This window comes from Homo sapiens, chromosome 2 (genome assembly GCF_000001405.40).
Source record: "Homo sapiens chromosome 2, GRCh38.p14 Primary Assembly".
NCBI classification, from domain to species: domain Eukaryota; kingdom Metazoa; phylum Chordata; class Mammalia; order Primates; family Hominidae; genus Homo; species Homo sapiens.
The window spans coordinates 130,470,987-130,485,708 of NC_000002.12; the positions used below are offsets into that span (position 1 = coordinate 130,470,987).

General features: G+C 38.1%; 1 protein-coding gene across 6 annotated transcripts in view; it reads right to left on the reverse strand.

The window, feature by feature from the left end:
- The window catches only part of POTEI (POTE ankyrin domain family member I), a 50,253-nt gene that overhangs the window by 11,532 nt on the left and 23,999 nt on the right, over window positions 1-14,722 (reverse strand). For 5 of the 6 annotated variants that reach the window (XM_024453046.2, XM_017004732.3, NM_001277406.2 and 2 more), the window contains 4 exons: window positions 11,017-11,087; window positions 5,645-5,715; window positions 3,921-3,965; window positions 3,392-3,573 (listed from right to left, as the gene is read on the reverse strand). In XM_024453046.2, coding sequence (XP_024308814.1) covers window positions 3,392-3,573; window positions 3,921-3,965; window positions 5,645-5,715; window positions 11,017-11,087 — 369 coding nt within the window. Of the gene's footprint in view, window positions 1-3,391; window positions 3,574-3,920; window positions 3,966-5,644; window positions 5,716-11,016; window positions 11,088-12,827; window positions 12,894-14,722 lie in introns of all 6 variants that reach the window. The other variant, NM_001371926.1, reaches the window with a different exon arrangement.

The window sequence follows — 14,722 nt, forward strand, 5'->3', positions numbered from 1 at the left end:
CAGCAGGAGAGGTAACATGCCAGATGGTTTACTGCCTTTCAGTTATTAGGAGGAACTCTGCCACATACTCAGAGTGAAATGGGAGGCAATCAGAACGGCTGGGGCAGAGGAATGACAACATTTGACTTATGTTTTAAATACATCCACTGAGATAAGAATTGATGAAAGGGGAAGCTTTTAAAAACCAGGACTATCAATTCCCAGTCTATGACACTCATCTAAACTGCAGATGACGGTGGCTCAGTTGTATAAGATAGACTGGCCTCTGGATATATTCTTCAGATAGACCTGACAAGATTTACTGAGAGATTAGATGTGAAGTGTCAGGACAGAGAGAAAGATCAGTCAAGAATAACACTGAGGTTTTTGGCAGAGCAACTGGAAGAGTTGCTGTTAACCAAAGTAGGAAAGACTACATGAGGTGTAGATTTCAGGAAGGACATCAGTAGCCCAATTTTGGATCTGACAAGTGTGTGATACCCAACAGCTAATCAAATAGAGATGTCAAGTAGGTGGGATGATATAGAGATCTGGAATTAAGGAAAGAGATCTAAGTTGGAGACATACATTTGGAAATCACTAGCATATACACAGTAGAAAAAGTCATGAGGGGCCAGGCACGGTGGCTCACGCCTGTAATCCCAACATGTCATGAGGCCAAGGCGGGCAGATCACCTGATGTCAGGAGTTTGAGACCAGCCTGGCCAACATGGGGAAACCTGTCTCTACTAAAAATACAAAAATTAGCCAGGCGTGGTGTCGCACACCTGTAATCCCAGCTACTCAGGAGGCTGAGGCAGGAGAAGTGCTGGAACTCATGAGGCAGAGGTTGCAATGAGCCAAGATCATGCCACTGAACTCCAGCCTGGGGGACAAAGCGAGACTCTGTCTTAAAAAAAAAAAAAAAAAAAAAAAAAAAACCATGAGAAAGAAGATTGAGGACTGAGCCATGAGAAACAACAATGTCCAAAAGGAGAAAGATGAGGAGCAGCAAGCAAAACAGACCATGATAAACGGACTAGAAAGGCAGGAGGAAAAGCCTGAGGGAGTGAGGTCCTGAAAGCCAAGTGAAGACGCCATTAGGGAGGAGATGCCCTCCATTGGCTCAAATATTGCTGACAGATTAAATGAGGTGTAAGAAAAATGCCTAGATTTAGTACAGAAAAAAATTAGTGATAATCTTGAGGAAAAACAACTCTGGAGGAGTGCTGAAATTGAAGACTTACCGGCATTGAGATCAAGAGTGAATGGAAAGAAAATTTGAGTTCATGAGTGTAGACAGTTCTTTAAGGACAACATACTTAACGCTCATGACTGAGAATGATGTAATTTTCATCCACAGTCATGGAAAAGTGATAGACAAGAAATAGTAGCTTCCAAATTTTACATAACAGGTGGAGTTTTCAAATTTTATGTAACAATTATATATTCTAAAGGTTATAAAAATTATACACATATGGCATTTAGAAATGTCAGACCAAGGTTTTTAAAGGCCCTTTGAACATTTCTAGATTACATAAGCTGATTATCATTTTGTTCATGCTTATACATAAAGACCAAGAAATACTAAAACTCTCAAGGAGAATATTTCTTGCTTGATAAAAATCAGCCAATTCTAGGACAGTTGACACTCATCAAATATACAAAGTAATTGATCACAGTAAAATACTGAGTTCTATTAACAGGAATAAAGTGGGAGAAATGCAGAAAATAATCTTATTTTATAAATGTAGTTTTCAAAATCATATGAAGTCACTGGAAAAATACGGTGAGGTGAATACTGAAATATATCCTTTTCTCAAAGGGAGGATAATGTCACACATGCAGGGCACTTTTACAAATAAAAGTCACTGCATTAGCAGCACCTTCCTTTTAGCACAAGGGTCAGCAAATAAGCACCTGTGGGCCAAATCCAGCCCACTGCCCGTTTTTGTAAGTCAAGTATCTTGGAACACAGCCATGCTTATTCACTTTACAGTCCATAGTGTCAGTTAGCTGGGTGTGATGTTGCACACCTGTGGTCTCAGCTAGTAGAGACTGAGGTCAGAGGATCACTAGAGCCCAGAAAGTCGAGGCTGCAGTGAGCCATGATCACACAACTGCACTCCAGCCTGGGAAACAGAGTGAGACCCTGTCTCAAGAAAATCAATATATGTAGTCCACAAAGCCTAAAATATTTACTAACTAGCTCTTTGCAGAAAAAGCTGGCCAACTCCTGGTTTAGTAGATCAAAGATTCTTTGATGTATTTTAATAAAAGTTTTACCAAATATACTGAAATGTTTATATTAAATATAGATCCCCATGTACAATCCCTTGGCAATATTCAGATTGAGGGTCCAATATTTCAGCACTCAGGCACTGACAACAAAAATTTAGTAACTAGCAATCTTGTTGCTAACAAGGTACAGTGTCAATGTAGCATGTAGCTTCCATTTGCAACACAGCAGATATTACAAGAATTTTAACAAGAACTCTTAAGATGTGTCATCAAACTAAACGCTTTAAATACATTTTAATTGTGAAATAATCAGTATACCCTACATCTAACCTCATTTTTTAAAAATGGTTGCATAATACATTATTTTGGGGATATGGAAATTGAGCTATTTCCTATTGATAAGCAATTAGACTAGTTCCAAATTTTTTACATAATAATACTATAATAAATGTCCTTATACATAAGTATACATATAACATATCTATACAAATATCCTTTACATGTATTATATATGCTTACTCTGTTATATATGTGTGTGTGAATATGCTACTCAATTAATGTTCAAAATGTATTTACCAACAGTATATGAAATGTCTTTTTCAATGAAACCATTTCCCCTGCAGCAACACGGATGGAGCTGGAGGCCATTATCCTAAGAAAACTCATGCAGGAACAGAAAATCAAATGCCACATATTCTTACTCATTAGTGGGAACTAAACATGAGAACTCATGGACACAAAGAGGAGAATAACATACACTGGGGCCTACTTGAGGGAGGAGCATGGCAGGAGGGAGACGACCAAAAAACTACCTTTCGAGTATTTTGTTTATTATGTGGCTGGTGAAATAATCTGTACCCCAAGCCTCCATGATACAGTTTACCTATATAATAAACCTGCACACGTACCCGAAGCTAAAATAAAAGTTCACTGAAAAGAGAAGAAAATGCCTTTTCCCTCACATTTGCCAATACTGGTTATTTTTCAAATAAATTAATGACTGGAAAAAAAACGGTAACTGATTGTTTGCTGATTTTCATTTTTCTGATTAACAGGCAAGGCTCAATATCCTAATAAAAGTATAAAATTTGTTCATCATGAATATTAGCTCAAATTAGGATTAGTTTGACAGCACAAAGTTACCTCCTGTTCAATGTTGCCATAGGCTTACCTGTGATACTCTTCATTCTCAGTGTCAGGAAATTGCTGGCTTTCAGGTGTTCTGCTCTTCCTTGGAGGAATTAATCCATCATCACCATTGCCAGCAGTGGCACCATTAGTCAGGTTTTCTGGGAATCCGACGTGAGTACTTCCGTGCTTCTTCATTTCTTCGATAGCCATAAAATTTTCTAGCTGGAAAATACAGAGAATAAGAAATTATCTACTTTAGGCACATTATCTACTGATAATCAGACTAAAACCAAGAAAGATAAAATAATTGGTCTAAAGCTCCTAAAGTGGCATTACCTAGCATTTTATGGCACCATTCGGGATTATTCCATAATAATGAAAGAATAGCTCTAGGGTTTGCACCTCTTCAAAATTCAATGTACAGAATTCTGAGTTAACTATTTAATTTTTCACTGATGATTTATGCTACTTACATGATAGGATCATGTATGCCTACATTTACTACACTTTGTTAAACAACATAATGTAAAAATCTAATTCAACACAAACATTTGAATATAAAGGTATACCTCTCTATCACCATCCTTATTTATTTCTGGTTCTTGAGATCTTTTCTGCAGATGTAAAAACAGAAGGTTAATTTGCTTGTTGTATTTCTGTGACATTTCCTCTTTTGGAGTGCATGTTTTTAAAATAATTTTATTCTGAAGTAATCAAGTATGGACAATAAAAATTAGAAAGTAATTAAAATTAAACTGTTTAAATAAATAATAATTAAAATTAAGAATTAACTTTTTAATCTATGTTTAGCTACTGCCACATCACTGGCTTCTAACATGTGAAAAATAATTCACCTTAGACAAAGGGAGAAGAAAAACATGAACCAGCAAACTTAACTTTCTCACTATTTGTTTGGACTAAACTTAATTTGTTATGTGTTAAATCTACCAAAAATGAATCAGCAGATGATTTGTAGTGTTCCAAAATCTTCCTCACTTGAAAAGAGTTTACCTCATGAAACCCTAACTAGTGAGCCCCTACAGTGCACTGAAGTGCTTTTTTAAAAGATTCCTAACTGGATTGTAGGCACCCTTTAAACTATTAGGAGCCGAAATCAACACCAAACAGAAAGAAATGCAAATTCTCACATTTTAATTGAAATTATATACTGTCATATGATAGTGTTATGTATCCAGATTATCTGCGTAAGTCCAGTTCTAATATATTCTAATGTGTACTAATGACAGCAGATAGAATTTTTTAATCTGTACTGATTTTCTGCAACTGAAATAAATTAGAATGTTATTGTGTTTGTGCACTAACACCAAAGGTCCCATTCTGCAAGATATGGTTCTTGTAATAGGCAGTTGGGTTGCTTTTATGACCTGGTTCCCTCCCTGAACAGAAACACTGAGGTCAACGAGAGACCACAAGGCAGGATATGTCCTTAACCTTGGTATCAGTGACTGACAATATAAAACTGTGGATTTTCAATCACAGGCCATGATTACTCTTTAACCATGAATCCAGCTCAGGGAATCAGTGTTACATTGTTCATAATTCCTATTGCTTAATAATATGATTCAATCATTGATGTTACTTTCTTTATCATGTTAGGGTGTTGTAAAAATAAAAGAACAAACAAAGTTCTGAAATTTGTTTTTGCCTCTATTCCAAAAGGAGAGATTAGCTATAAGCTAATCAAGAAGGCAGATAAGAATATTTTAAAATAAGAGTATTTTAAATTTTATAGTGGGTTATGTTGAAGTTAAATATCAAATATTAAATTAGAATCTATTGATTCTTCTGTTAAGAAGGTTGCTGATTTTATTACAATAAATTTTAAGAACCTATTAAAATATATATATATATTTTTTTCAGATGGAGTCTTGCTCTGTCACCCAGGCTGGAGTGTAGTGGTGGATGTCGGCTCACTGCAAGCTCCCTCTCCTGGGTTCATGCCATTCTCCTGCCTCAGCCTCCCGAGTAGCTGGGACTACAGGCACCCGCCACCACGCCCAGCTAAGTTTTTGTATTTTTACTAGAGACGGGGTTTCACCATGTTAGCCAGGATGGTCTCGATCTCCAGACCTCGTGATCCACCTGCCTCAGCCTCTCAAAGTGCTGGGATTACAGGCGTGAGCCACCTTGCCTGGCCAAAAGATTCTTAAAAAAACAATCTACTGATTCTCAAAGCCTAGTCTGAAAGGTAATTTCATTTGGACTATCTACTATTATTAAGGCAAAAAACACACAACATTAAACAAAAGTTTAAATTTAAAAGTTTCCATGCCTCTGGCTGGCCATTTTCACTGCCTTTAAGCCTTTGTGACTCTTCCTCTGATGTCAGCTTTAAGTCTTGTTCTGTTGAAAAATCCATATATTCAGTTAAAATCAACCACTTAGAACAGTTAAAAACTATTGCCTTTTAAAAACGGATTTGAGACATTTCATTTTATTTCATAAATTGAGTGTTTCATCTTTTGTGAAATTGTCATTTAAGAAATAATTCTCAAAAACTTCAAAAACCCACTTGGGGAGATACCAGATGTCACCAGATTGAAGACAAACAAACATGTCAAAAATTCCCTCACAAATTCATCCACCCAACATCCATGAACAAAACCACCAGAAACACAGCTTTAAAATACAGTAGAAACATATAAGGTGACACAGTGTACTGTTCTCCACTTCCTAATAGTACCTTATAAATGATTTCCAAAATCACTGCTGACACCTTTATTAGTGTACAACGTCTTCCTAATATCTAAAATGTTTCCCTCCACTATTCTGACAAATTTATTTTCTTTTTTTCTTTTTTCTTTTTTTTTTTTTATGAACCAGGGTCTTCCTCTGTCACCAGGCTGGAATGCAGTGGCATGATCAGCTCACTGCAACCTCCGCCTCCCTGGTTCAAGTGATTCTCCTGCTTCAGTCTCCTGAGTAACTGTGATTACAGGCAAGCACCACCACACCCAGCTGATTTTTGTATTTTTAGTAGAGATGGGGTTTCACCATTGGACAGGATGGTCTCGATCTCCTGACCTCGTGATCCCCTCTGAAAGTGCTGGGATTACAGGTGTGAGCCACCACACCTGGCCTTATTTTCATCTTTTGAAACAATGCTATGTGAAGTCTTCCTTGATTTTGCATGTCTTTCCCCAAATAAACAGGTACCTCCTTCCTTGAGGCTGCCTTAGTACTTTACTGATTTTTCTACTGCATCTTGACCACCTAAACTGTACATTATTCCTCCACATGTCTGTCCCCTCTGCTCCAAGACTGCAGGGGAGAGTCTTGCACATCATCTTTGTAAAAACAGTCTTTGTTTTACTCAGAAATATTTTATTGAGTCCTGCTAAATACATGCTAGGCATTAGGGTTTAAAAAGAATTAAAATAAAGCCTGTCAGAGATGGCTTTTCTAGAACACATGCCCAAGCAGAGACTTAAATATTGAGACTAGCCAGATTAAAAGGGGTAGAGGGCAGGAAAGGGTGACGGCATACCATGCAGCAGCAAGAGCGGGAGCGAGGCCTGAAAGAGTGAAAGTATTTGCCTACAATAGAAGGATGAGTGAGTAGGGCATTGCCAGCAGCTCAGTAATGCCAGAGACAGTGCACACAGGGAAAAGGGCTAAAGATGGAGAGTGGGGCAGAAGTCAGATTATGAAAGCCTTATGTGTAATTTTAAGATGCTTGGACATTAATGTTCAAAAGTGGTCCCGGGTCCTATCTGCATTTAGATATAGATCATTTCAATGCCAAAACCAATATTCCTAGTGAACAATTATTCATTAAGACAAGGTGACAGATAGCTCATGTGGACACAGCTGAGATGATACAATGTAGCAAATACTAAACAATTCTCATGAACACTTGGAAAGTCAGTTCTATAATAAAGTCATACAAATTATACTAAATCAGTAAATATTTGGTTTGGGAAGATGCTTTGTAAAGTTATAGTGCATATGAATACAATTAACAGTCGTGAATTCAGAGCTGTGAAAATAAATCAAAGAAACCACATTGTGTTTGAGTCAGCAATCTTTAGATTTCTATCCAGTCTTTCCATCCAGTCCATAAATTCTAAGTATAATCCTGGTACTCACTCTCAAGTTTACGTTAAATACTATCCCATACAAAAAAACACTCTTTCTCTTACTTCTTTTCATTATGTCCTGCTAAAAAATTCTGATTGGCTGCAGGCGGCAAGAGGGAAAAACACAAAGCACATTTTGCAGAAAATGATTATTTAGAAGTCAGAACTATGACATGAAGCCAAGCAGGGCACTCTAGGACCGAATTTGCTGTGCTGCCTTCATATGCTCCTTGCTCTTTCTTTTCTGGCAGCTGTGACTCACACAGGTCATGGAGAGTATCATTCCCTAAGAGGAACAACTCCGATATTCATCTTTATCTATTAAGTTCATCTGTCCCAATTCTGTGTTCTGTGGATGCTGACTTTCTGTCACGGACGATGATGCACATGGACATTTATTACTGACTTTCAGATTCTTGGATCTTTGACAAGTCTTATTACTGAGAATCAAACTAGTAGGATGTGAGTTATAAATGCTGATTATCCAATGACCTACTCAAAATATCCTACACGAATATTCCATTAAACATGCATAGAAAAAAATTAGTCATTCCTGCTGACCTGCTGCTCTTTGCTCTCCTGTATTCACCAGAAAATTTCCTACTCCTTCCTCATGTCCAGGTTAAATACTAGTGTACAATCTGGAAACCTGTACATCATCTGAGATTTCTCTCTGTCCCCCAAGCCTTTCTCATTCAATTATCACTAAATCATATTGACTATACCTCTCTTCTGCCTCTGTTTTATATTCCCACTGCCACTGGGAACATAAACATTTACAAAATGACTTCTATTTAAAAGAAAACTGCCAACTATTAATGTTATTTCTTACAGGAAAAAAAAATTAAGCAAAACAAGTGAAAAAGGCATAACGAAGGCCAACATAGTAAAATGAGTAACTGAGATTTCTAACATTATTTATTTCACCATGGACGGGTGAAAACCTTATAATACATTGATGCTACTCCAAGGATGTGTAACATGGAAACTATAGCTGACTACTGCAAAAGCTTCCTTTGTCTCCTGGTTTCTTTGCATGATTATCTCCCATCAATCCCAGGAAACTATAGGCCACAGGCCAAATCCAATCTGCATTATGGTTTTGTAAATAAAGTTTTATAGGAGCTCAGTCATGCCTGTTTGCTTACATATAATCATGGTGGCTTTCACACTACAACAGCAGACAACAGCAGGGTTAAGTAGATATGACAGAGACCACATAGTCTAAAATATTTCCCACCTGGTCCTTTAAAGAAAAAGCCTGCTAACCCATTTTACACCATAACCAGAACGCCTTAATACTCAAATTTAATCTTGTGACTCCCCTGCTCAAATTTCTCCAATGAGCCCCTGCAGCACACATTGTTGGCTCCCTATCAATAGCCATTCCTCATTCTTTCTGGCAGAAAAAATATAAGTCTATTGGGATATTTAATATCCCAATCCCCCTCCTCAGCCTCAGAAACAGAAATGTTTATTCTAAGCTAATCAGGTATTTACCTTCCCAGTGCCTGGTTTGGGAATGAGCATGTGGTGTGACCCAGCCAATGAAATGTTACAGGAAGCCCCTTGCATGCTTCTAAGTTTTCTCCCTGTTTAAAAGACACACGTGAAGAAAAGCAGCCCTTGCGATGTTGTGTTGTGAGAACAAGATGTTTGGAGCTGCTGCGGATTAGCCAACCACGAAAGGAGACGTGAGTAAAACACTGTCAACAGCACAGCTGAAAGAGGGACAGGTGGGATCCTAGGATATCAATGAATAAAAAAACAACTCTGGTTCCTACTGTTTTAGCCACTGCTCATCTAGTATTTGCAGTCCAAAGCATTCTACCTGGTCAATTCCCATGGCCCACAGGATAAGAGCTACTCATTTCTATAGTATTAAAAAGTCTATCATAAACTTGCCTTAGCTAAGTATTCACCTCACTCCCAACCTCTGGTATCTCACACTTTTGGTAATAGCAAAAGTGAACTGCTCAGAAACCCTGCCATGTTCACTCAAGCATCTTGTCTTCTGCACTTGCTGCTCTTCCTCCCAAACGGGCAATCTCATTAGATGTTCCTTCTGGCAAACACACAATCTCACTCCATGTTCCTTCTGCCAAATGTCATTCTTCTGCTTCTTTCCCTGAAAAATTCTTCTCACTCTGCATGCTTACATTAAATCCTGCCTCCTTTCTTTCTAAAGCTTTCACTCCTCATCACATATGTCTGGCACATAATCAATATCACATATAATAAATCATAATTATAAGATTCCAGTGGGCATCTAGCACACAGTAAGCACTGAATAAAGCAGCAAAATAATAAAAATGACAATGATAATAATAATAAGCTCCTGTCTGTGTTTTTGTGTTCTGTAGCCTTAGAAAAACTGCTTAGTATCTAAAAGACATTTGACAGTTATTTGTTAAGTGGACAAGTGAAAACATAAATAAAAATGTTTTCTTTGTAAATTCTGTTGAAAAACCACAGAAATGAAATAGAAACACTTCTGTTGTGAGCACCTTAAAGATTAAAACTACATCTATTCCATCTTGTCTCCTGCAACTTATAAAACCTAACTTACAGAAGCTCTTTGATAAATAGGTAGCCAAATTAAAGGTGTCCTCATACAGTTTGGATTGTACCATGTATTAGGTGTCCACATCCAGGTAGCATACTAGCATTTTTGTTACTGTGAAACATTTTTATATTTTTATTATAATCTGCTGACCCTTGCATTGGGAAAATTGTACATTATGACAATCTTTTGGCAAATGGTAGCAGAGCATCTTCTTCTAACAAAATTACTGTTATCATGACAATTAACCAGCTGGTGGAAGAACACATCTTGTTCCAACAAAGTAAATGCATCTCTTTCAACTTCAAAACAGGAGGAATGAAGTCAGTAATAGTGAGACCTTGTTGGCACAAGCATATGTAACATGATCTGTGCTTCACTGTTCTTTTGTGAACAAAAATTCCTTACTTTTACTTTTTAAATCTATGGTAGGACCTCCCAGAGCAGGGCTCCACAACTCCCAGGCCACAGACTGGTACCAGTCCACGGTCTGTTAGGAACCATGCCACACAGGAGGAGGTGCACAGCAGGCAAGCCAGGGAAGCTTCATCTGTATTTACAGCCACTCCTTATGGCTCATATTGCAGCCTCTACTCTGCCTCCAGTCAGATCAGTGATAGCATTAGATATTCATAGGAGCATGAACCCTGTTGTGAACTGCCCATCTGAGGGATCTAGGTTGTGTGCTTCCTATGAGAATCTAATGCCTGATGATCTGTCACTGTCTCACTTTGCCCCCAGAAGGGACCATCTAGTTGCAGAAAAATAAGCTCAGAGCTTCCACTGATTCTACATTATGGTAAGTCGTATAATTATTTTATTATATATTACAATGTAATAATAATATAAAGTAGCACAATAAGTGTAATGTGACCGAACAATCCTGAAACCATCCCCACCTTCCCCCAGCCCATGGAAAGATTGTCTTCCACAAAACCGGTCCCTGGTGTCAAAAAGATTGTGGACAACTGACCTAAAGTAATTCACTATCACAAGTCTTACCTGGGTTGCTGTTTTCAGAAGAGTATTTTGGCATCTGTTTTTCTTTGTAGTCAGAAACTAATTCGCAAATTCTATGTATAAAAATATAACAAATAAAATTACTGTTTTAAAATACTGATCTGGAAACTTACCAAATGTAAAATTCTTAGAGTATTTCAAACAATATCAGAATATCAGAACTTAACAGTATTATCCCATCCACTTATGCGTACGTTCTACAAACTTCTCATGAAGCTTCTAATTAAAGAAGAAAAAAAAGTAAGATGAAATACTCATAAATCGAGGGCACTGTGACCCAGTAAATTAACTTGCATTAGCCTGACATAATAGAAAGTGTCCCAACTCTAAATAAGTCCTAGCTCCATAATGAACAGCTATTTGCTCTTGAACAAGCTGCTTCTCTTAGGCTTAATGTCTTCTTCTACAAAGTGAGGACTACGCTGCCTTATTTTACTAGGTTGTTATAATGATTTAACAAGATAACATTTTTTTAAATGCTCAAAGAAATAGTAAAACAATGGAATAATTTGTTCCTAAACTTTATGACTGAAATTATCTTGGAATCCCAAATAAAACCCAGTGCGAATTTTGTTCATAGGTTCTAATATGCAAATGTTGTAGTTTTCAGGAAACGTTATTAAGTCCTAATTTTGCTTCTTAGTTGTCCTACTCTTTATGGCTTCTAATTCAGGGCATCTCAACTATGTCATAGTTTGTAACTAAATTTTTTCATAAATATCTCATTAAAGTAGATAATGTGATTGTCCACTATTACGGAGTTGATCAATCACGCCAAGGGCAGAAAAACCAATGGATGTTAAGACCTGACTTGGACCAATGATCCTTCTCTACAGACTCAAACTCTCAGCCAGATGTTTGTTACGATGATGCTTTATATACATGTTCATCTCCAGCTGACATGGGAGATGAAAACCCTACTTTTATTTTTTTTTTTTTAGGTTCCACGAAGAAGTTGCAAGTTGGCATTCTCTAATTTTTAACATACATACTAACAATATATTTTGTACACAACACCCCACATGTTATTTGGCTCTGGTGTCATCTCACAGACCACCTTACATGACTATTTTTATTGCGCAAATCACAATTTCAATGTTTTTGTGGCACCCATTCTGCTTTGATTCACACCATTTCCTTAAAGCTACTCAGCAAACAGTCAAATGACCTTCCAGTGACTGCGCAAAATATAGAATGCTTCAAAAATTTGTGTGGCCGCCTTATGCAAGGGCCAGCTCCTTGGGAGGCTGAGGCAGGAGAAATGCATGAACCCACGTTGCAATGAACTGAGATCGCGCCACTGCACTCCAGCCTGGGCGATACAGTGAGACTCCATCTCAAAAAAATAAAATAAAATAAAATAAAATAGTAAAGTTTGCAATTCCTCTGACTCAGTTTACCATAATTACAATTATGATTACTATTAAAGCATAAATAGTGAATAACCACAATATTGGGCTTTTCTCCCTAAATAAAAAAATTAATATAAACAATGTAGCTTATTATAAAGAGCCAAAACGATTTTAAAAATGCAGACAATTACCAGGCAAAACTGTTAGAAAGAACCATGTCAAACTTGTTTTTTTTTTTTTGAGACGGAGTCTTGCTCTGTCACCCAGGCTGGAGTGCAGTGCAACGATCTCGGCTCACTGCAAGCTCCGCCTCCTGGGTTCATGCCATTCTCCTGCCTCAGCCTCCATAGCAGCTGGGACTACAGGCGCATGCCACCACACCCGGTTAATTTTTTTGTATTTTTAGTAGAGATGGGGTTTCACTGGTCTCGATCTCCTGACCTCGTGATCCGCCTGCCTCGGCCTCCCAAAGTGCTGTGATTACAGGTGTGAGCCACCATGCCCGACCTACGGCAAACATTTTTAAAGTGAGAATCAATCAAACAATATACACAGGATAAACTCCATTCACTTATTTAACAAGTATTTATTAGGTAGCTACATCCAATATGCTAAGCCTTTTTCTAAGCAGTGAAGATATGGTAGTGAAAAATAAAAACCCTATTCATGACAGTGAGAAAAACACACAATAACAACAGACAGATAAGGCAAAATATACGGTATGTTAGAGGAGAAAAACTAAAGCAGGAAAATGAAATGTTTATGTGTTTGATGGGGAGGGTGGTGGGAAAGTTGAGATGGCCAGAAGAGTCCCTGCTGAGAAAGGGTTTTTTTTTTCTAATACAAAAAACCTTTTATTTGTATATCAAAGACTCTAAGAAACGATGACATAAGGTTAACAGCGCTGATGTCAAGATACAAATAGGTTTGAAGTTAGAGATGATAAATCACTTTGTTTCATTGAACCTTGCCTTGATTACCTTAGAGAGCATTCCTTGTATGCTCCCAATTGCATCTTAAGCATGATGTGTCTGGGTAGTACACGGCTCTTCCTCAGAAAGTGGATGTTCCTTAATGTGTTTCTTTTTACCCTTTTCTTCTTCTTAGAAAGGTGGTTTTAAATAAAGAACTGAAGGAATGGAAAGAGTAAGCTAGGAGGATATCTGGGGAAAAAGCATCCCAGACACAGGGAACTGCCAAGCACAGAGGTGTGTCTGGAGTCTTTAAGCACTAGGGGTAGATACGGGATGGCAAGAATTCAGTGTGGCTGAAGCAGAGCAAGGGAGATAATCAGGAGGAACTTTGACCCATACTCAGAGTGAAAAGGAGGCAATCAGAAGTGCTGGGGCAGAGGAATGACACAATTTGACTTATGTTTTAAATACATCCACTGAGTTAAGAATTGATGAAAAGGGAAGTTTTTAAAAGCCAGGACGATCAATTCCCAGTCTATGACACTCATCTAGACTGCAGATGACAGTGGCTCAGATGTACAAGATATGACTGGCTTCTGGACATATTCTTCAGGTAGACCTGACAAGATTTACTGAAAGATTAGATATGAGGTGTCAGAGGGACAGATGAGTCAAGAATGACACTGACATTTTTGGCAGAGCAATTGGAAAAGTTGCCCTTAACCAAAGTAGGAAAGACTACATGAGGTGTAGATTTCAGGAAGGACATCAGTAGCCCAATTTTGGATCTGACACGTGTGTGATACCCAATAACTAACCAAATAGAGACGTCAAGTAGGCAGGCTGATATAGAAATCTGGAATTAAGGAGAGAGATCTGAGCTGGAGACATACATTTGGAAATCACTAGCATATACACAATAGAAAAAGTCACGAGGGGCCGGGTGCAGTGGCTCACACCTGTAATCCCAACACTTTGTGAGGCCAAGGCAGACAGATCACCTGAGATCAGGAGTTTGAGACCAGGCTGGCCAACATGGGGAAATGCTGTCTCTACTAAAAATACAAAAATTAGCCAGGCATGGTGGCACACACCTGTAATGCCAGCTACTCAGGAGGCTGAGGCAGGAGAATCACTTAAACCCAAGAGGCAGAAGTTGTAGTGAGCTGAGATCACACCACTGAACTCCAGCCTGGGGGACAGAGTCAAACTCCGTCTCAAAAAAAGAAAAAGAAAAAGTCAGGAGAAAGAAGATTGAGGACTGAGCCCTGGGAAACAACAATGTCCAAAAGGAGAAAGATGAGGAGGAGCAAGCAAAACAGACCATGATGAATGGACTAGAAATGCAGGAGGAAAAGCTTGAGGGAGTGAGGTCCTGAAAGCCAAGTGAAGACGCCGTTAGGGAGGAGACGCCCTCCACTG